The sequence below is a fragment of the Homo sapiens genome, chromosome 3 (assembly GCF_000001405.40).
Source record: "Homo sapiens chromosome 3, GRCh38.p14 Primary Assembly".
NCBI classification, from domain to species: Eukaryota; Metazoa; Chordata; class Mammalia; order Primates; family Hominidae; genus Homo; species Homo sapiens.
The window spans coordinates 183,393,155-183,416,296 of NC_000003.12; the positions used below are offsets into that span (position 1 = coordinate 183,393,155).

Sequence of the window (23,142 nt, forward strand, 5' to 3'; positions counted from 1 at the left end):
CATTTTTGGCATGCACAGATTAGGGAGAAACTTGTCTCTTTTTTTTTTTTTTTTTTAAGGTGGAGTTTCGCTCTTGTTGCCCAGGCTGGAGTGCAATGGCATGATCTCGGCTCACTGCAACCTCCACCTCCCGGGTTCAAGCGATTCTCCTGCCTCAGCCTCCTGAGTAGCTGGGATTACAGGCACCTGCCACCACGCCCGGCTAATTTTGTATTTTCAGTAGGGACAGGGTTTCTCCATGTTGGTCAGGCTGGTCTCCAACTTCCGACCTCAGGTGATCCACCCACCTCGGCCTCCCAAAGTGCTGGGATTACAGGTGTGAGCCATTGCGCCTGGCAGAAACTTGTCTCTTTGTTACCCACACAAGGCAAAGGGAAGTGATAATTCAATTTCAACACAATTTCTATCCTGGGCAAACAAATATACTAGGGAAAAACTTGTCTCTTTTCTATCCTTGATAAGTACACAGAAGTGTGACTCTATTTTACCCTGAGCCCACAGTTCCAGAAATACAGACGGTATCAAAGGCCAAACACAACCTCCAGACTCTTACGCGATGAAATAATAGTCCAGCATGTCCCATGGGAATTCCACTGCAGGCAGCAAGCAATATCCCTGTGTTGCCCACTTCCCAGGCTGAGAGAGCAGCATGCGCTCTGGAGCCAGGACCTTTGCTAATGACTGGAGCCATCCTCCTTACAACAGAGGGCAGGAAACAGGGCTGATGATATCTCAACACTGTCTGACTGCTGCAACTGCTAAAGGATAAAGGGCAGTGAGACCCTTAGCCTCCCACTCTTGCTCTTCTGAAATTTCTGTCACACTATGATTTAAAAGATTCAAGTATGATCTGAGGGGAAAAAAAGAAAAAGAACTAAATAAATAAATACCTAGGTTAAGGGGGAAAAAGTATGGTCTGGAGCAGAGAACAGCTGCCCCAAGTTTGGCAGACCCTGTGACATTACTGCTTTGCCCAGAGACTCAAGGGGACAGAAGGAACAGAAGGATCTGCCAGTTGATCAAACTAGATCTCAACAACTGAGTTTGCAACAACGCGTAACAAGCCATGAACCAGGATCTCTGCTCTCAGGCGCTGTGTAACAAGACCCTAACTGTTAATAACATGAATAGGGCACCAGCTGTGAGCTGGACACTAACTTTGCACGTCACAGATTAACTGGTTGAATCAGTTGCACAATGACAGAAAAGGAATGTGCCCTAACACTCAAATGAACCTCTTCCAGCCCGCCCCACCCTCCTACCTCCACAACCAGACTGGACTTGACCACTGAGGAAACTCTGGACCAGAGGCTCAGAGACACCAGTTGCCGGGCTGGTACAAAAAGCCAGCCCATGGGGCATAATGCATTTCACTGCTCTGTTTTATTGGCCAGGTCAGAAATAACACAAACATATTTCCTTCTTTTACTGGGTCCTGCGCTATAGCGATGCTTAACCTGCCCCATAACAGTGACTTTTATCTTATCCATAATGAATAATGAAGTAAAGGCTTTTGAAAGCAGACAGAATAATTGTTTAGAAGGAAATTTAAAGATTTTAAAAATCAAGAACACTAGAAAATGTCCAACTTCCTAGTCATCAACAAATGAAACTTAAACAGCAACAAAATATCTCACTTCATCCATAAAATAATTGAGATTCTAATACACAATGCTGGGGTTATATTGGAAAATCAGTACTTCTGCAGAACCTCAGGGAGTGAAGCAGGTAGCATCCTCTTGGAAAGTCGTTTCTCAATCTTTTACCTGGTGATTATTGAGCACTTATGTGGTCGATTCCATACCAGTACTTTATATATGCAACCTCATTTAATCCTTAAATCTACTCTAAGGATGATATTGAACTAGATTTGAAGTAGCTTGTCCAAGATCATGCAGAGCCAGAACTTGAATCCAGCTCATTCTGACCTCCAAAGCCCAACGTCTTAACCATTACAGTCATTAAAATCTCCATAATATTTTATGCACTCATCCTATATCTGAAAATGTATCATGAGAACATAATAAAAACTTTATATGTAATGGCATAGACTGTGATGTTTTTACCAGAGTGAAAAAATGGAACCAATCATTATACAAGTATAAAGACCCACATTCACCGAAAAAGATTTAAGATACAATGTCAAGGACACAAAAATCCTACAAGTGGTGAGATTATAGTCAGATTTTAAAAAAGAAAGAAAAAACCAAGCGTGTGATATGTTTATGCACATATGTGTGGGTGTATGAGAAAAGAATATATGAAACAGTTGTGTTAAAGTGATGGAATTATATGTGGTTACCCCTTTAGTTTACATACGGAAAAGTATGCACTGGTAGCCTTTATTTTTTATGCTATTGGTACTTTATTGAAGTATAATTTACATGCAATACAATGCACAAAGCCTTAAGCATACAGTTTGAGGAATTTTGACAAATATACACTGATGTAACCATCAAACAGATCAAGAAATGGAATATTCGGCGGGGTGCAGTGGCTCATGCCTGTAATCCCAACACTTTGGGAGGCCGAAGTGGGAGGATCACCTGAGGTCAGGAGTTTGAGACCAGCCTGGCCAACATGGTAGAACCCCGTCTCCAATAAAAATACAAAAATTAGCCAGTGTCGTGGCACGTGCGTGTAATCCCAGCTACTCAGGAGGCTGAGGCAGGAGAATTGCTTGAACCTGGGAGGCGGAGGTTGCAGTGAGCTGTGATCATGCCACTGCACTCCAGCCTGGGCAACAGCGCAAGACATCGTCTCAAAAAAAAAAAAAAAAAAAAAGAAAGAAAGAAAGAAAGAAAGAAATGGAATATTCCCCTCCCCCCACCTCCAGAAAGTTCCTCGTGGCACCGCCTGCCCAGACCCTCACTTTGGAGGGCTCAGTATCTCACACCCTCCCCCCATGAACATATGTATTAAAGAACACTTGGCTGCCCTGGGCACTCATGGTCCAGTGCTCAATGCTGGCAGGTGCACATAGCCCTGGAAATCTACTCTTTTAACGCTGCTCAGACCCAGGGAAATACTCCACAGCTCTTGGTTTATGTCCTCAAAAGAAAATGTGACCGCATCCAAATGCTAGGGTGGTTTGTGGGTTGCACCACTGCTGACATCAGGGACACACACTGCTTCAGAGTGCAGGGAGGATTTGAACTGTGGAAGTGCTTAGATAAGAGAAAAAATAAATGAATTAACTTGAGAAATCCTTCCTCTCACATAGCATGATGCTGTAGATTCTTTGGTAATGACATAGCCAGTCCAATAGAACCAAGCATCAATGCTCTTAGTTTTCTTTTGGTAATTCATCATGCAAATATACTCAAAGTTTGAACTTGTTAAACACAATTACATTTTACTTAGATCACATTGACTTTAGATGACTGTTCTCAACAGTTCAAAGTGAAAATCTCAGCTATACCAACACTGATTTTGCTGACATGAAGGCAAGAAAAAATATATTTTATGGAATAAGTAATGACTTATGGATTCTGTATATATTTATTATTAATTCACATATCACTGGCCCATAAACAGTGAAGCCTATTGGCTGGAAATGGTCTGTGGACAAAACAATAATAATAATTATTATTATTGTATATTCAGTATACATGCAATAATATGGAATAGTATGATGAGATGAGAAAGGAGGTTAGACAGAGAAACAGAGGAAGACAGAAACATGGAGAAAACCATGTGAAGATGGAGACAGATATCTGAATGATGCAACCACAAGCCAAGAAATAGCTACAGCCCCCAGAAGCCAGAAGAGACAAGAAACTGAATCATCCCCAGGGCCTCTAGAGAGTGGCCCTACCAGCACCTTGATGGTGGACTTGTGGCCTCTAGGACTGTGAGAAAAATTAATTTCTATTGTTGTAAGCCATCAAGTTTTATGGTCATTTGTTACAGCAGACACAGGAAACTAATATAATAGGCATAGACTGAAAACAGACAATTCATAGAATATAGCCAATAAATTTATATTGAAACATGTTTAACCACAAGTCTTAGTCTGTTCTTGCTGCTATAACAAAATACCTTCGACTGGGTAATTTACAAATGTAGAAATTTATTTCTCATGGTTCTGGAGACTGGGAAGTCTAAGGCCAAGGCACCAGCAGGTTCCGTGTCTGGCAAGGACTTCCTCTCTGCTTCCAGGATAGTGCATTCTTGCCGCATCCTCACATGGTGGAAGGGCGAAAGGGGTGTACACTGAGTCCTCACGTGGCAGGAGAGATGGAAGAGGGAGGCAGCTGTCTGAAGCTTCTTTTATAAGGGCACTAATTCCATTCACAAAGGTGGATTCCTCATGACCTGTCCACCTCACAGAGGCCCCACTTTCTAATACCATCACCTCGGGGGTTAGGTTTCAACATATGAATTTTGGAGGGCCACATACATTCAAACCATGGATAAAGAAATCTAAATTAAAACAAAATGAGATCTTTTCTGCCTGATGGATTAGTGATTATCTTAACAATGAATAAGATTGGGTTGGTAAGAGTGTAGGCAGATTATCTATGAGTAAAATATAAATAGGTACAATCTTTCCATTAATTAATTTGAAAATCTGTCAAAATATGAAATATGCAGCATTTTAGCCAAGAAATTCCATGTCTAGGGATTTCTAAGGTAATATTAACACAAGTACAAAATAAATGGGTTTGAAGATGTTTATTATAGCTTGTTCTTTTGTTGCAAATGACCATTAATAGAGGATTGGTTAAATAAATGATGATAAAGCCATAGAATACTACGGAGGCATTAAATAAAATCAGATACATCTATGCTACTGACAGGAAAGGAGGTTTAAAATACATTAAGTTTTTTAAAAAGAAAGTGAGATAGAGAACAGAATGTTGTTTATGTTTATATGTATATATGTATAGAGGTACTGCCTAAGTTCAATTGCAATGAGCCATTGAAGCAGAGATGGCTAACTGCCCATCAAAATGTCACAGATCCTCTTCCATACAGTAGCTTTACCACTGAAAGGCAGTTGTCTAGCCAGGGACTCAATCTCCCACCCACCCCTTTACCTTCAGTTATTGTCATGTGACTGTGAATGCCAATGGGAGGTAAGCAAAAATGATGTCTTACTTCTAAGCTAGGGTATTTAAAAAACAAGTTTGCTTTCGCCACTCTCTCTTCCCTCTCCCAGGCTGCAAGGTGACAACTCCAAGTATTGCAAATGGCAGACCCACAAGATAGAGGCAGCCAGGGTCCCTAAAACACTGAGAGAAGACAGCTCTCTGACTGAGGACAGTGTATTGGAATCTATTAATCCATTGAAATTTGGGTGTTTGTTACAGCAGCTGGCGCTACTCTAACTTAGAGGAATTCATTTTATAATATTAATATAATATATTTATAATCATATGTTATAAATATAATATGCTTTTTTCTTTAAAAAAAGAAAAAAGGGAGGAGGGACAGTCAGTGGAAAAGCAAACACCCAATTGCTAACTCTCCTGACTCCCCAACAATTACATAAACTATGGGTCTTTATTAACGCATATTCCAATCAGCATGTTATCTCTAGTTTAATTCCCCTAATCAGTGTTGCTTTAGTCCGAAAAGTCAGCTGACAGTATCTCATGAATATAACGTGGCAGTAATGTCAGAAAGGTCTTTTAGATACTCACAAAACTTACATTAACATACTCAACTTTCACTGTTGTCTTGAGTCACAGAATAAAATGACTGACAGCTAAAGAATATAGGTGAATGTTTCATAATCTTCTTTAGTAGGGAAAAAAAGAAGGCATATATAATGCTGTGAGCTTAGGATTTGGAAATCTTACTCTTCTTTCAAATTATTTCCTCTCCTCACTACTAACAGAGTTGGAAAGCTCTTGTAATAATTTAATTTTAATAAAATTAGGGCAATCATATATATACACTTCAATTCAAGCCTTGTAAGGATTTGTGTGCATGCGCAGGTGAGCACACATGTTTAAATATGGAAAGCAAAATCTAACAAGTTGTCCTTCTCTAAGTAGCAAATATATAATAGCCATTGCCTTTGAGAATATAATTTATGCATTATCTACTATATAAGTATATGGTATATAACTATGAATCATGTCTCAATCAGAAAGTATACTGCAACAATGATTATTTTTAAAGCACACTTCATTTAATAACTTCCCACTGTTGAAGAAACAGGTTCCAAGTATAAAGAGTAATGAGAGAGCCTAAGACATTTGCTTTAATCACCTTTTCTGGCCTGTGATCCAAAGGGAATAAATGTATTATAAACATTTTCAAGGCAAAAAATAAAAATAAAAAAGGTGGGAGCATACCAATAAGTGCATTTCTAAAAGAAGCAGTCTTAGAAACAAGTAGCTGCTTCAGCTTTGAGAACATCTGTCCTGCTGGCTTCCAAGTACACGGAAAGCACACTTAGAAATGATGATTCTTCTCACCAGCCCATCGAAGGGAAGCGCTTTTCTTTTTCTACTCTGAGACCATCAGTCTGTTATCAGTTCATGCATCTAACATGAAGCCTTTCAGACTTGACATTTTTCTTCAGGAATATGAATTTCATAATCTGGATTCTTATTTTCATTTTAATAGAAGAAATATAGAAATATTGAAATGGTAAAGGTTCAGATCCTGAGACGGAATGTAGAGCGTCTCCTGAACTCCTCCTGAAGATCAGCTGCAAGTACAATCTGATTCTCAAATGAAGGATATTCTTTGCCTGCCATGAAGTGACCAAGATCCTACTTACTACCACTTGGACAAAAGCAAGATATGTTGGTAATTTTAAAAAATAGAAAATACAACCAAACAAAATTAAGTAAAACTTATTCCTTCAACCAAAATTAAGTAGTTATCTCATTGGTATACAATATTCAGTGCACATATATGTATGTGCAGACATATGTAGGCTTTCAAAACAAGCTCATACTTACACGTTCCATATTATAACCTAATTTTTCAGAAAATGTTTTTATTATGAATCTACCTATGAACATATCAATAAATGACCATCTACAATATTGTAATAGCTAATTAATGCTTTTTTTAAAAAAGTCATTTTAAAACTTCTTCACAAAAAACTTGAGACGGTACTGCAAAGTAAGATTTTTTTTAATGTAAAATTTCTTCGCTTTAAATCATTATGCTAAGAATGAGGAGAAATAAAACACATACATAAAACACATGCATCCTTGCTTCCACACTACCTTTTTTTGCCATATATTCCAGCCTGATGCAACTTCCTACTAAACGGTGATAGGCCCTCATCTCTGCCTCTGTTATCCGCACCAAGGTGTAAGGTGAGTATCTAGGATCTTGCTGCTCACACTTCATGCACCAGACCACGACTGGATTCCAGGAAACGGCGCCACCTCGCTCGCTCTCCATTTCTCTCTAGGCACTGCACTCACACAGAAATGTTCAATCCTTTCTCCCGGTTAATCTCCCTGAAGTTCACTCGAGGTCATTTCGTGGCCGAGAGTTGATCCTTTTGATTGGTGAGTGCTCACAGGATTACAGCCCCAGCAGATTATCAGACGTACTCATTTAGAAACAAAAGGAAAACTGGGGGATGACAGCGAGGGACATCCTAGCCTCAATGAGAATCAGAATTTTTTTTTTTTAGAAGTATCACATCATCACAAGACACAAATCAGGCCACCAGATACTTAAAATAAAACGATAGGGATAAACTTTGTAAAGGATGATTTAAAAAAAAAATAAAAACTTATTCCAGGCCACAATTCTACCCTCCTTCTCTTCTAACCTCTCTAGGCTGCCAGTAATAAAATCCAGAGGCTTAACGCTGCAGCCAGTAAGATTCACTATCTGAGCAGGCACCTTAAATTGACACGGCAAACGGTAAAGGTTCAGATCCTGAGACAGGATGTAGAGCGCCTCCTGAACGACTCCTGAAGATCAGGTGCAAGTATAGTCTGATTCTCAAACAAGGATATTCTTTGCCTGTCATGATGTGATCAAGAGCCTACTCACTACCACTTGGGGAAAGTGAGTTCACCTTTCAAACTGCCGTGCAGAGAGGATGATATACTCAGAGAGAGGCTGCCTTTTCCTGATGCATTTTATTTTGGTTCCTCATGCTTAATGGTATTTATTAATAATGTGTTTCCATAGTTAAAGAAAGAGCACAATGTGAAATAGCCAATCAGCAAGTAATAAATGTTTTTACACAAGCTTCTCATCTTTGTATCATTCAAGCTAAAATTTCAGAGTAAGCCTTGCCATTGGCCAACAAGAAACTGGAAGACTTTTTTAAAAAAAAAATTTTTTTAAAGGTTTTTAACTTAATTTGGGGGGAGGGATAAAAATGTACAAATATGAAACTATACATTTCGGTGAGCTTTGACAAAAGAATACATCCATGTAACCCATCCCTCTTTCAAGATGCAGAACATTTCCATAACCCCAGAAGATACCTTCAAGTCCCTTCCCAGTCAACCCTGGTTCCCAGGCAACCACCACTGTGACTTTTTTCGATAGAGACTAGTATTGCCTGTTCCAAAACATCATATGGTGTTAATAATACAGTATTGATTCTTTTGTGTCTAGCTTCTCTCAGGATAACGCATTTGAGATTCATCCACAGTAGGTATCAGTAGTTCATTCATTTTCATTGCTGAGTTTCATGTCATTGTATGGACAGCTACTGCTTGTTCATTCTCCTACTGATGGACATTCAGGTTCTTCCCCAACTTGGGCTGTTTTAAATGAAGTTGCTGTGAATCTTCATGTAAAGGCCTGTGTGTAGACATGTTTACCTTTCTCTCAGACAAATATCTAGAAATGGTATTGATGAGTCAAAGGGTAGGTGTATATTTAACTTATAAGAAACTGTCAAATCTTTTCCCAAAGCAGTTGTACTAGAAAGCACTTCAAGATTAGAGACTACTCTGTTGAGTAATTAGAGCTAGTTCTTTGTTGTTGTTAAAAGTACAGTAAGTTTGTGGGGATGGGGGGAATTAATGAAATGATTATCAAGTTTATTTGAAAGAATATAGGCCGGGCACGGTGGCTCATGCCTGTAGTCCCAGCACTTTGGGAGGCCGAGGCAGGCAGATCACGAGGTCAGGAGATCAAGACCATCCTGGCTAACATGGTGAAACCCCGTCTCTACTAAAAATGCAAAAAAAAATTAGCCGGGCGTGGTGGGTTTTTCCCGGGTGCCTGTAGTCCCAGCTACTCGGGAGGTTGAGGCAGGAGAATGGCGTGACCTCGGGAGGCGGAGCTTGCAGTGAGCCGAGATCACGCCACTGCATTCCAGCCTGGGCTACAGAGCGAGACTCCATCAAAAAAAAAAAAAAAAAAAAAAGAATATAAAAGGCTAGAGGGTAGAAGGGTTAAGAAAATGGTTTTTTGGCCAGGCACAGTGGCTCACACCTGTAATCCTAGCACATTGAGAGGCTGAGGCAGGAGATCGCTTTAGCCCAGGAGTTCGAGACAAGCCTGGGCAACATAAGGAGACCATGTCTCAAAAAAAAGGTTTTTAAAAAAACAAATGCTTGAAAAAGAGAATTTCTCCTGGCAGGTATTTTAAAGTTATTATGTTAGCACTAATAAAATAAAAAGAATGAAACAAGACCAAGAAATAGATTATAAATTCAAAAATAACAATATGTAAAGAGTGAGGCATTGCCAATCAATGAAAAAATACTTAATAAATGCTACCGAGGAAACTGAGTCTCGCCTCATATCATAGACAAAAAATATATATATATATACGAAATTTAAAAGTTGTGTAAAAAAATAAAACCACTAAAAGATACTTAAAAAAAAAACACTTGATGATTATTTACTTATTCTTTACTTGAGGAAGGATATAAAAAGCAACAGACGAGGCCAGGTGCAGTGGCTCATCCCTGTAATCCCAGCACTTTGGGAGGCTGAGGCGGGCAGATCACCTGAAGTTCGAGACCAGCCTGGCCAACATGGAAACCCCGTCTCTACTAAAAATATAAAAATTAGCTGGGTGTGGTGGCAGGTGCTGGTAATCCCAGATACTCAGGAGGCTGAGGCAGGAGAATCACCTGAATCCAGGAGGCAGAGGTTGCAGTGAGCCGAGACTGCACCACTGCACTCCAGCCTGGGTAACAGTGAGACTCCGTCTCAAAATAAATAAAATAAAATAAAAGCAACAGAAGAAATTATAACCAGCAAAAGAGTCTTAGCGCTCACCGTTTGTGGAAAGAAGTCAAAAATAATGACGACTTGTGATAAGAGAGAGTGAGATTGTATTATCCGTGCTAGCAGGGGAAGAGTAGAAAGCAATTCCACTCTTCAATTTGTGGAGGGAACATGGGGGTTTTTAAACAAAGAGCTTGGAAAGTAGAAGAGGCAAATGGGCCTATGAGATGCCAGGTGGCGAGACTTGCTCCAGTGGCCTTCTTGAATTATTGTCTCATTTGGTGAAGGGGCTGGCACCTTTGTGGATCCTGCCAGGTTGTAAATTAGTCAGTCTTCAGCTGGGTGTGGGTTCCATCCTCGAAGGAATCTTTTGTTGAAGAGAGAATTCTGGAGGTGCCTGGTCCCTATCAGGATCTGACTCCTGAAGCTTCTACGGAAATATATGACCAGATAAGACAGCATGGTCTGTGCTTAATAAGCATTAGGTAAATAAATGTTCATAAGGCATGAGAGTATAGTATGGGAAAGGAAAGGGAGTGGAGGTTCACAGCACATTCCATTGCTGTCTTTTAAGATGAGAGGTAACATACATGCAGTTTGTGTCAAAGTTATATCTTGAAACGGACAGGGGGAAGAGGAAAAGGGAAAGAAGAAAAAAATGTTTAAAAAGTGGTTTGAGGCTCAGCTAAGCTGATGGTTATAAAACAACAAAATAAAAGATCTATAGATTTGACTACATACAATTTTAAACCTTTTATGTTAAAAGACATCAAAAACAAAATTATAAACAGAAAACTGTAGAATAAAAAAACCTTCTATAAACTTAAGAAAGGTTTAATAACTTTAACATTTAAAAAATTTATGCACAAATACCTTGGTCCCAAGCCAAATATTAATAAAACAGCTAATAAAAACATTAAAATCATTAGAGTTCACTCATAATTTTTTAAAATTCATTAAAATGAATACAATAACACATTTATCTATCAAACAAGCAAAAATTCAAATAAGAAACAATAAAAATAGGCATCACCAGAAGGCTAATATTACAGGTACGGCATCATTCCCTTAACATGCATTGTTTTAAAACAACCCTGTAAGTTCTGTCATTAGCTCATATGTCATACAAAATCACAAGTGCTGATAAACAGATCAAGTGAAAACAAGAACCCCACATCCTGTTGATGGGTGTAAGTTTCCCAGAAGGCAATCTGACCAAAACGTATTTAAAAACTTCACACTTACACTCTCTAATCCAATAATATTTTCTAGAATTCTACTTGTAAAACAATATGGGCTGGGCGTGGTGGCTCACGCCTGTAATCCCAGCACTTTGGGAGGCCGAGATGGGTGGATCACGAGGTCAGGTGTTCGAGACCAGCCTGGCCAACATGGTGAAACCCCGTCTCTACTAAAAATACAAAAAAATTAGCCGGGCATGGTGGTGGGCGCCTGTAATCCTAGCTACTCGGGAGGCTGAGGCAGAAGAATCACTTGAACCTGGGAGGCGGAGGTTGCAGTGAGCCGAGATCTTGCCACTGCACTCTAGCCCAGGCGACAGTGCAAGACTCCATCTCAAAAACAGAAAGAAAAAAAAAATCTGAAATGTGTGCAAAAATTTCTGACTAAAGATGCTCCTTGCATCTTAAAAATAACATTGGGAAACTGGGAATAACCTATATGAACAACGTAATTTATGGTGAAATCATGTAGCAAAAAATTATAAAGCCGTTAAAATATTATCTATGGAGATGTCTTAATAGAATTTACAATATAATTGAATGTACAGTATAGTTTTCATAAGCAGAATATAATCTATATAATTCTATCTGTAATATGTATTATACATATAAAGAAAGCTAGATCATATAATCTTAACTATGTAAAAATGCCAAAGGAACAAAAAGCTAGAGAGATATAGCTCAAAAGGTAACTGATTATTATTAGAAAATGGGATTATAGACTTTCTTTCTTGTACTTTTCTGTATTTTCCAAATATTGAACAATGAGCATGTATTATTTTTTCTGTATTGTTTTTGTTTGCTAATTCTTCTTAAATTTGTTTTTTTAACCAATAGTATAAGTCACTCTTTTGGGAATACAGTTCTATGAGTTTTGACAAATGCATGGAGTCGTTTAAGCATCGACACAATCAGGATACAATATAGTTGATTGCCCCTGTGAGTCAAACCACTCACCCACCCTTAACCCCTGGAAATCACTGCATTCCTATAGTTTTACCTTTTCCCAGTATCATAGAAAGATTAGTATGTACCTTTTGAATCTGACATCTTTATCTTAGCATAATATATTTCAGATGTATTCATATTATCATCTGTATCAATAAATCATTTCATTATTGAATATGCCACTGGACAGATGTACCTCAGTTTATCAATTCTCCAGGTGAGGGACACCTGGGTTGTTTCCAGTTTCATTTTGTATTTTTTAGACAGGGTCTCACTCTGTCGCCCAGTTGGAGTGCAGTGGCGTGATCTTGGCTCACTGCAACCTCCGCCTCCCGACTTCAAGCAATCCTCATGCCTCAGCCTCCCCAGTAGCTGGGGTTATAGGCGCAAGCCACCATGCCCAGCTAATTTTTGTATTTTTAGCAGAGACAGGGTTTTACCATGCTGGCCAGGCTGTCTCGAACTCCTGACCTTAAGTGATCTGCCTGCCTCAGCCTCCCAAAAGTGCTGGGATTACAGGCGTGAGCCACCACCACACCTGGCCCTGCTTCTAGGTTTTACTGATTAAGAATAAAGCTGCTATAAATATTCATGAACAGATTTTTGAGTGACCGTGAGTTTTCATTTTCTTGGGTTGCGATTACTGAGTCGTATATTAAATGTATGTTTAACTTTATAAGACACTGCCAACTGTTTTCCAACATGGCTGTACCATTTTACATTCCTACCAACAGTGCGTGTAAGATATCCAGTCCCTTGTCATCTTCACCATGTCTTGGTATCGTCATTTTTTTTAGTCACTCTAACAGGTACACAATTTCACTGATGACTACTGATATTGAGCATATTTTCATGTGTTTTTTGCCATCTGTATATCTTATATCTTCCTTGATAAAGTATCCATTCAAATCTTTTGCCCATTTTTAAATTGGGTCATTTGAGTATTTTATTACTCAGCTTGAGAGTTCTTTTTATACATTCTGGATCGAGTCCTTTGTCAGATATGCTATTCACAAGTCTTGGTTTTTTTTGAGACAGAGTTTTGCTCTTGTTGTCCAGGCTGGAGTGCAGTAGCACAATCTCGGCTCACTGCAACCTCTGCCACCCGGGTCCAAGCGATTCTCCTGCCTCAGCCTCCCGAGTAGCTGAGATTACAGGCGCCTGCCACCATGCCCAGCTAATTTTTGTATTTTTAGTAGAGACGGGGTTTCACCACATTGGCCAGGCTGGTCTCGAACTCCTGACCTCAGGTGATCCACCCACCTTGGCCTCCCAAAGTGCTGGGATTACAGGCGTGAGCCACCACACCCAGCCTATTCACAAATCTTTTTTCCCCAGATGGTGGGTTGTCTTTTCATTCTCTTAACAGTATTTTTTGCAGAGAAAAAAAAATGTCAACGTTACCAAAATCTAACTTAAATCAAATTTCTCTTATGAACCAGACTTTTGGTCTTTGTGACCAACTAAGGTCACAAAGATTTCCTCCTATGTTTTCTAACAGATTTTTTATTAGGTTTTACATTTAGGTCCATGATCCACTTTGAGTGAATTTTTCTATATGGGGTGAGGTATACATAAGGATTCAATTGTTTTGCACACAGATGTCTAATTGTTCCAGCACCATTTGTTGAAATTGCCACTACATCATACTCCACTGAACTGCCTTTATACCTTTGTCAAAAATCATTTGGCCATATTTGTATGATACTATTCTGGAATATCTCCTCTGCTCCATTGATCTATATGTCTATCCTTTTGCCAATACCACACTGTCGTGATTACTTTGCTTTAAAGTAAGTTTTAAAATTAGGTAATGTGAGTCCTCCAAATGTACTCTTTTAAAAAAAAATTGTTATTATAGTTCTTTTTGCCTACTATAGTATCTCTTTTAGCTGATTCTCAATTTCTACAAAAATATACAATAGATTTTTTATTGAAGTCGTGTTTAATTCATGGATCAATTTGGGAAGAATTGACATCTTGAGTCTTCCAAACCTTAAATATGGATGATATGTTAGTTTTATAAACAGAGGTTTTGAAACCCTTATGAAATATCACATAATGCTCATTCTCCTCCCTCTTTCTTCTGCTTCTTTTTTAGATTCTACTGCAAAGCCACAGAAAATGACCAGGAAACATGATCTTTCTTTTTAAAATCTGGGTCAGTTTTCCCAAGGCACTGAGGGAGAAAATGGTCACCTCACATATGAGGTTTGTGTAGTGGAATTTTCCTTCTCATTTCTGCAGAATATGTCAAGGTCTAAAATCCCATTTCACAGCCTGCGGGCTTGTTCCTCCTTTGCAAGCAAGGCTAGAGGTATAAATATTGCAATAGAAATAAAATGGAATGAAGAATAGGAGGATGAGAATGCAAGAGTTCATAAGGCCTGTCATTCTAGTCTAGGTCCTGCACCAAACCCTCTTCACGGCGGGGGAGAAAAAAGAGGAAAGAGAAAGATGCTATGGGGTATGGGAGGTGCCAGTAAATTGGTGAGGGTAAGGGCCTGTGAAACCCTGAGGGCTAGGGTGGCCAGGGGACACTTTTGACACAAAGATGCCTCCGGCTCCATTTCAAAGTGTCTGTGTTGCTAGACGGTAAACATTTGCTCTCCCATCTTCGGAAAATTACCTTGTCCCCCCCAATCTTCTGTGTGCATGATTTTTGAGACACTGGGAGAAAGAGCTGGATTTCACAACTAAACCAACCAAGTGCAAAAGAAAGGCAGCCACTGTGAAAACTGGAGCCCAGAGTAGAGAGGCCAGGAGACCACAACATCAGCCCAACAATGAAAGAGAACCCTGGGGAGGCTTGGGACTCCACGAGCGACCTGGGAATGATGGCTAACTTTGCCTAAATACTGTCTTATGTTTGCTTAATGTCTACCTCCCCATTAGACCGCAGGCTCCAGAAGGACATTCCTTCATTCCTCCTGGCCCCCATTACACCTGAGGAGCTGCGCAGGATGCTGCGGCTGCAGCAGTGGAGGTGGTGGCCTGGTTCTGGCCCCTAGGGACCTATGGCCATGGGCAGGGGTTATCCCCACTCCTTCATATCCCATCCTTAGACCTGGCCCAGTGCCCAGCTCCCGCAGGCCTTCATGAAATATGGTTAGTCTTAAATTGGGGATTAAAGAGGAGAAACAGGCAGAAGGACCTCTTTCCCCACAGCAATTTAATTAATTCTAGCTTCCCAGGGTATTGAAAGAGAAAGCTAAAATGAATGTGAACTGATCTAACAATAGGTAGAAAAAAACAGACACACAATCCAAAACCTGGGCTGGACAGGTTCAGTTCAAATAACTGAACAAAGAAATCCAGAGGCAACTCTTCTAAGCCTCTGTGCTCATTTTGAACACCTGTAGTTTGTCCACATGCATACAGTTTGTACTTATAACTCCCTCACAGTAAAGTCCTCTAAATACAGAAAGTCTTCTATACTAAATAAAAGTGCATAGTGGTGCTGCCACCTTGCCATGATAATGGGAGGTTATAACTTTATTAGATTATTAGACTTTTTGTTTGTTTAAGACTCTAGTGCTTAGCATGGGAAATGCAATTAGGCAAACATTTCTTCCTTAACAGGCTTATTATCCTTATTTAAGAATTATGTATGTATTATTTCTGCATGTTTAAAGACTACAAAGTAAATCCTCTAGCTTTAGCTAACAGTTTTTCTTTGGAAGAAAGTGACTATTAATAAGCCAACTTTTCGAGTGGCTCATAAAATACTTAAGATTCAGGGATTAATGCTTTCATTTTCTATTTGATTTTTTCAAAAGATTTTTCAAAACTCAGTAATAGCACTTTGTCATTTACTGGTTTATATATCACTTTGTCATGGGAAATTAAAGCAAATGTGAGCATTCAAATGCCTCAAAGCCAGCCAGACCTGACTTTTGATTCTGACGTTTCCTCTTGCTATGACCTTGGGCAAGCTTCCTAACCTGCTTAAGCCTCAAATTTCTCCTCCATATAAATAGACTGCACTTACCATTAAACTTAATTAAATAAAAATGTACATAATAAAGCACAACTTGTGACACTAAAAGGCAGGAAATAAATGGTAGCTAAAATTTCTTTTTTTTTTTTTTTTTTTTGAGATGGAGTTTCTGCTCTGTTGCCCAGGCTGGAGTGCGATGGTGAAATCTCAGCTCACTGCAACCTCCACTTCCTGGGTTCAAGTGATTCTCCAGCCTCAGCCTTCTGAGTAGCTGGTATTACAGGTGCCCATGACCATGCCTGGATAATTTTTGTATTTTGTAGTAGAGGCGAGGTTTCACCATGTTGGTCAGGCTGGACTCAAACTCTTAACCTCAGGTTATCCAGCCACCTTGGCTTCCCAAAGTGCTAGGATTACAAGCGTGAGCCACTGAACCCAGCCAATAACATCATTTTAAATGTTATTTCCATATCCTCTAGCCTTTCCCAATCTCTTAACTCCTAGAAAAGGATCTATATGAGGAAGGAAAAACAGTGAGACACCATAGGTCTGCCTTCAAGCTTGAGGTCATTCTTTCTTTCAAGGTAAAGCTCACTGTTGAGCTTTGTTGTCCAAGGAAGGGTTGTTGACCATGGAAGCCTAGGCAGAGACTACAATAAATTGGACAACTAGTGCAGAAAGACCAATGCAATCTCTAAAAGTGGCTATTCCCCTTATCCCGCCAATTAAATAGCTTTCCCCTCTCCATCTATCTAAATCTTTTCCTTCCTTCAAGATCAGCTCAAGTCACATCTCATATGAAGCTTTTTCCAGTCACTGAAGCTCACAATAACTTCAGCCTCCAAACTCTCACAGCACTATCTATATTGGCAATTGATCAAGCATCAACTTGTGACTTTTTGCAGTCTTTCTTAATATAACTATCATATTGGGCCTTGAACTCCCCTCCAGTCCAGTGGCCTACAAGCGTCCTCTCCAAACCCCTCAGATCATTTGTTATCTGGATAAAGCAGGGACCCATGGGTGACTCAGCCAGTGTTAAGAGCTCAGGCCCTCAGATTCCCCATAATTCTCTCCCCATGACAGCTTGTGGGCCATATGCCCGGGCCAGTGCCTTGGTCGTGGTGGGTGCTGTCTAAATACCATCCGTTCATTGACCAGTGACATCTTAATGTAGTTATGGTGCCCGAGCACCTAGGCAGTCACACAGGGGAGGTGGCACACTGAATATGGGGCAAGGTTCCTGTTTTTCCCAGGCCAGCCTGTAAAACCGTCTAAGTATTTTACATTCTTAATGATTCTAAAAGTTGAAAGCATAATGCCAGTACTTCCCAAGTTATTAGACTTGTTTTAGGGTGACTGTTCACCCCAAAGCCCTCTTCCCCAAGGACTTCTACCCCCATCCCAAGATCCAGCCACTCTCTAAATCCACAGCTGAATAAAGAGCTGATCTGCAGAGAAAAGCAGAAGAATGGTATAGACACAGGAGGGAAGCAGAGCACAGTGACCAGGTGACACCAGAGAGAGAACAGCTGTCTTAGCTCCTGACTGTGCACCTTGCTGATGAGGCCCAGGGGGACCTCCTGCTCTGAGGTTCTGTGAGATACTCCCTAGCTTGGAGAGCACTCAGCACAGACTAGCAGTGGTCAGGAACTCAGACTCTGAGGCCAAGACCACCTGGGTTCAAATCCTGGTCCTGCCACTTACCAGCAAGATGCTCCAAAAGGAGCTAATTTTTTTTTTGGCTTTGTTAATGTGAATTACATATGCATGTCTTTGGTAATGTCAGTGTGTTAAATTCCAAAATCTCTTAAGTTGATTATAATAATTATTGCCTGCCAGTATGAAATAAGTGCTTTAATTTCACAAGTCCATGACAATGAGATAGTCTTCCTTTTCAGACTCATTAAAATCAATCAATCCCCATTTCTCACAATCAGCAGAAAGAGCACTTACACTCATTTGGGAAGAGCTGGTCCATGGTGCCAGATTTGGGCTCAGAGGCCCTCTGGCTGGGTCATATTCACTAACACCCGAAAGGGAGCCAATGTGATAACAGCCTCACCCTTCAAAGAAAAATTCCAAAACAAGCAGGACCATTTCGATTTTGATCCTCAATGATTTCAAGTATCTGGCAAAGATTTTTAAATTAGCTATATTAATTAAGTGTAATTTCTGTAGAAATGTTAGGCTACTTGAAGCTTTTTTTTTTTTTTAATAGGGAACACACATGAGCCTTTGGAACACAAAGGATGGCCTGTAGCCATAGCTGAGAAGTACAGGAAGCCCTGATAAGAGGCCAGCTACCCAGACTCCCTGACATCAGAGGTCCTTGCCTTAGTTGGTTCCTGGATAACAAATGATAGGAAGCATTTTATCAAGCTGAGCATCCTTGAAAATGAACTACAGTTGTTTAACATTCAAGATCCTTGACATCTGGCTAAGCACAGAGAAAAACTTTGAGACCCAGTTTTCTGGTATCGCTTGCAAAGATGGTAGTATGGCAAACTCTGTAACATGCTGGACAATGCTATGACGAAGGAAAGCTGTGTACGTGAATTACGTTTTCTCTGTGAAATGCACAGAAGGTTAAAAAGCCAAGGAGATGTTCTGCTTCCACTAGAAGCCAGAATGCTAGAAGGAGGCTCAGTACTACCCTAACAACAACAACAACAAAAACCCAGATAAACTACAAAATCATAAGTTTTCTTAAATGCATACAAGCAAATAAGAAGCAATCACCTAGAAGTTTTAAATTAATTGTATAAGACTGAGTGAGAGTAGACTAATGGGAGCATGTAGAGCCCCTAGGAGTCAGTGCAAAGGGAATTCACAGCTACTTGCAGGCTCTTCTCTAATTGTTTGTTTGTTTGTTTGTTGTTGTTGTTGTTGTTGTTTGAGACAGAGTCTCCCTCTGTCATCCAGGCTGGAGTGCAGTGGTGCGATCTCAGCTCACTGCAACCTCCACCTCCCAGGTTAAAGCAATTCTCCTGCCTCAGCCTCCCGAGTAGCTGGGATTACAGGCACCTGCCAGCCACCACACCCAGCTGATTTTTGTATTTTTAGTAGAGGCGGGGTTTCACCATGTTGGCCAACCTGGTCTCAAACTCCTGACCTCAAGTGATCCACCCACCTCGGCCTCCCAAAGTGCTGGGATTACAGGCATGAGCCACCACACCTGGCCTTCTCTAATAGTATTTTTAGTGGATTCCCTAGGATTTTCTATATACAAGATCATGTCATCTGCAAATACAGATAGTTTTACTCCCTTTCCAATCTGGATGCCTTTTATTTTTTTTATTTTTATTTTTTTTCCTAACTGCTCTGGCTAGAACATCCAGTGCAATGTTGAATAGAAGTGGTGAGGACGGACATCCTTGCCTTGTTCCTGTCTTTGGGGGAAAGCATTCAGTCATTCAGCACTAACTATGATGTTAACTGTGGGCTTTTCATAAATACCCTTTATCAGGTTGAGGAAACTTCCTTCTACTCCTAGAAGTGTTTGTTTTTTATCAAGATAGGGTGTTGAATCTTGTCAAATGACCTTTCTGCCTCTACTGAGATGCTTATGTGGGTTTTCCCCTTTGTTCTATTGATACATGTATTATATTGATTGATTTTTGGATGCTAAACCAACCTTACATTCCTAGGAAAAATCCCACTTGATCATGGTGTATAATCTTTTTTGTATGTTGCTGGATTTGGTGCTAGAACTTTGTTGAGCCTTTTTGTATCTATAGTTGACCTTTGAACAATGTAGGAGCTGGGGTGCCAAACTCCCTCATGGTTGAAAATACCTGTATAACTTTTGACTCCCCAAAACTTAACTGCTAATGCCTACTGTTGACTGGATGCCTTACCAATAACATTAACAGTTGATTAACACTAATTTTGTATGTTATATGTATTATAAACTGTATTCTTATAATAAAACTAGGGAAAAGAAAATATTTTAAGAAAATCATAAGAGAAAATATTGTTAGGGTCACCCCAACCAGGCTGTTGCCCTCCCTTCCCATGGGTCTTACAATGCAGTCCTTTGTGACCTCCTCACAGCTCCCCCAGGGCTAAAGACAAACCCCACTTCACTGACCCCTCCAGTAACTGTTTGTCCAGGCAGTTACACGATGCAGTTAACATGTCTGCTCACCTCGCATAACAAAGCTGGCAAAAATATCTCCAGGATGCGGTCAAGACGCCTGCACCCCCAACTCAGCTCCCTGACCCTGACCCAGTTCCTCGCCCTGTAAAGCCCTGCAGTAGTCTGTAAGCAGGGCTGCCTCCTCTGCTTTTGTCAGGAGGTAGACCAGCAGGACTGACAATAAATCAGCTTGCCTGAACTTGGGTCTGTTGGCCTCATTCCTTTCTCGGCTGTCCTTCCAATTACTCCTTACAAATATATTTACTATTCATTAAGTGTAAGTGGATCGCCATAAAGCTCTTTATCCTCGTTGTCTTCACCTTAAGTGGGCTGAGGAGGAGGAAGAAGAGGAGGGGTTAGTCTTGCTATCTCAGGGTGGCAGAGGAGGAAGAAAATCCACGTATAAGTGGACCCGTACAGTTCAAACCTATGTTGTTCAAGGGTCAACTGTATATTCATAAGAGATTTAGCCTATAGTTTGCTTTCCTGTTGCATTTTTCTCTAGTTTTGGTATTAGGGTGATACTGACTTCATAAAATGAGTTGTGGAATATTCTCACTTCTTCTATTTTTTGGAAGAGTTTGTGAACAATTGGTACGAATTCTTCTTTAAATGGTTGGTAGAATTCATGTGAAGCCATCTGGTCCTGAGCTTTTTTGTGCGGGTGGGTAAGTTTTTAAAAAATTACTAATTCAGTCCCATTACTTGTTATAGGTCTATTCATATTTTCTATTTCTTGAGTCATTTTTGGTAGTTTGTATAGTTTTAGGAATCTGTCCATTTCATCTAGGTTATCTTATTTGTTGGCATATAGTTATTCGTATTATTCCTTTACAGGCCTTTTTGCTTATGTAAGGATGGTAGAAATGTCCCCTCTTTCATTCAAGTCATTTACGCCTTCTCTTTTTTCTCTTGTTACTCTATAGCTAAAGGTTAATTTTTTCAATTAATCAACTTCTGATTTTGTTGATTTTCTGTATTGCTTTTCTACTCTACATTTCATTAATTTCCTCTAATCTTCACTATTTTCTTCCTTCTACTTTATATTTAGGTTGCTTTTCTTTTCCTAGTGTCTTCAGTGTGGAAGATTGGGTTATTGATTTGAGATCTTTCTTCTTTCTTAATGTAAGCATTTGCAGCTATAAATTTCCCTCTCAGCATTGCTCCCATTGCATCCTCTAAGTTTGAGTATGCTGTGTCTTGATTCTCTCTCATCTTAAAGTATTTCCCTTGTGAGTTCTTGTTGACTCATTTGCTCTTTATATGCATGCTATTTAACTTTCACATTTTTGTGAATTTTCACATTTCCTTCTGTTGTTGATTTCTAATTTTATTCCATTTTGATTAAAGAACATACTTTGTATAATTTCAATCATTTTACATTTATTGAGGCTGTTTTAGAGTCTAGAATATGGTCTGTCCTGGAGAATGTTCCATGTTCCTTGGAACACTTGAGAATATTCCAAATGTATATTCTGCTGTTGTTGAATGGAGTATTCTGTGTTGGGTCTGGTTGATTTACAGTGTTGTGTAGGTTTTCCATTTCCTTGTTGATCTTCTGCCTGTTTGTTCTACACATTACTGAAAGTGACATACTGAAGTTTCCAACTATTATGTTTAATAGTTGAACTGAATTTTTTTTTTTTTGAGACGGAGTCTCGTTCTGTTGCCCAGGCTGGAGTGCAGTGGTGCAGTCTCTCTGCTCACTGCAATCTTTGCCTCCCAGGTTCAACCGATTCTCCTGCCTCAGCCTCCCAAGTAGGTGGGATTACAGGTGCCCGCCACCACACCTGACTAATTTTTGTATTTTTAGTAGAGACGAGGTTTCACCACGTTGGCCAGGCTGGTCTCAAACTCCTGACCTCAAGTGATCTACCCACCTCGGCCTCCCAAAGTGCTGGGATTACAGGCGTCAGCCACCGCACCCGGCCAATAGTTGAATTTTCTATGTCTCCTTTCAATTCTGTCAGTTTTTGCTTCATGTATTTTGGAGCTCCATTTTTAGGCGTTTGTAATTATTATATCTTGGTGATAGATTAAGCCTTTTATCACTATAAAATATCCTTGTGTATCTCTAGTGACTTTTTTTGTTTTAAGTCTACTGTATCTGATATTAGTATCATCACCCCAGTGTTTGTATAGTTACAGTTTGTATCATACATCTTTTCCCATCCTTTTACTTTTTTATATCTTTGAATATACTAGTTGTATCTTTGAATATAAAGTGTGTCTCCAGGAGACACTATATAGTTGGCTCTTATTTTTTAAACCTAGCCTGACAATTTCTGCCTTTTGATTGGATCATTTATCCATTCACACTTAATATTACTGATATAGTGGGATCCATGTCTGTCATTTTATGTTTTGTTTTCTCTATATCTCATATTTTTTCATTTACTGCTTTCTTTTACATTAATAAAAATTTCTAGTATAGCATTTTAATTCCTTTGATAATATTTTCATTATATTTTAAGTAATTTTATTAGTGGTTATTCTATAGTTTTTCATATACATCTTATCAAAATCTACTTCAGATTTATACTAACTTAATTAAACTTGAGATACAGAAATGTTACTTCTATATAGTGCTAATCCTTCTTCCCACTTTGCTGCTATTATTGTTATACATAGTATATCTACGTATGTTATAAACCCAACAATATGTTGTTATAATTACTATGTTATATAACTTTATGTTTATTACAGAATCTGAGACAAGAAAGGAGAACAAGTATATATTT

The 23,142-nt window shown here is 39.5% G+C and overlaps 1 protein-coding gene across 5 annotated transcripts in view, besides 2 other annotated features; it reads right to left on the reverse strand.

The window, feature by feature from the left end:
- The window catches only part of MCF2L2 (MCF.2 cell line derived transforming sequence-like 2), a 250,579-nt gene that overhangs the window by 215,114 nt on the left and 12,323 nt on the right, over nucleotides 1–23,142 (reverse strand). The gene's annotated exons all lie outside the window — the stretch shown is intronic.
- Nucleotides 7,236–7,737: an enhancer, noted in NCBI's record as "NANOG hESC enhancer chr3:183118178-183118679 (GRCh37/hg19 assembly coordinates)". NCBI's record gives its function as "activates a minimal SCP1, AML or CMV promoter by ChIP-STARR-seq in primed H9 embryonic stem cells {active_cell/tissue: H9 hESC(primed)}" and the evidence as "EXISTENCE:reporter gene assay evidence [ECO:0000049][PMID:30033119]".
- Nucleotides 18,447–18,741: a silencer, noted in NCBI's record as "tiled region #15184; HepG2 Repressive non-DNase unmatched - State 24:Quies". NCBI's record gives its function as "represses a minimal TATA promoter and a strong SV40 promoter by Sharpr-MPRA in HepG2 cells {active_cell/tissue: HepG2}" and the evidence as "EXISTENCE:reporter gene assay evidence [ECO:0000049][PMID:27701403]".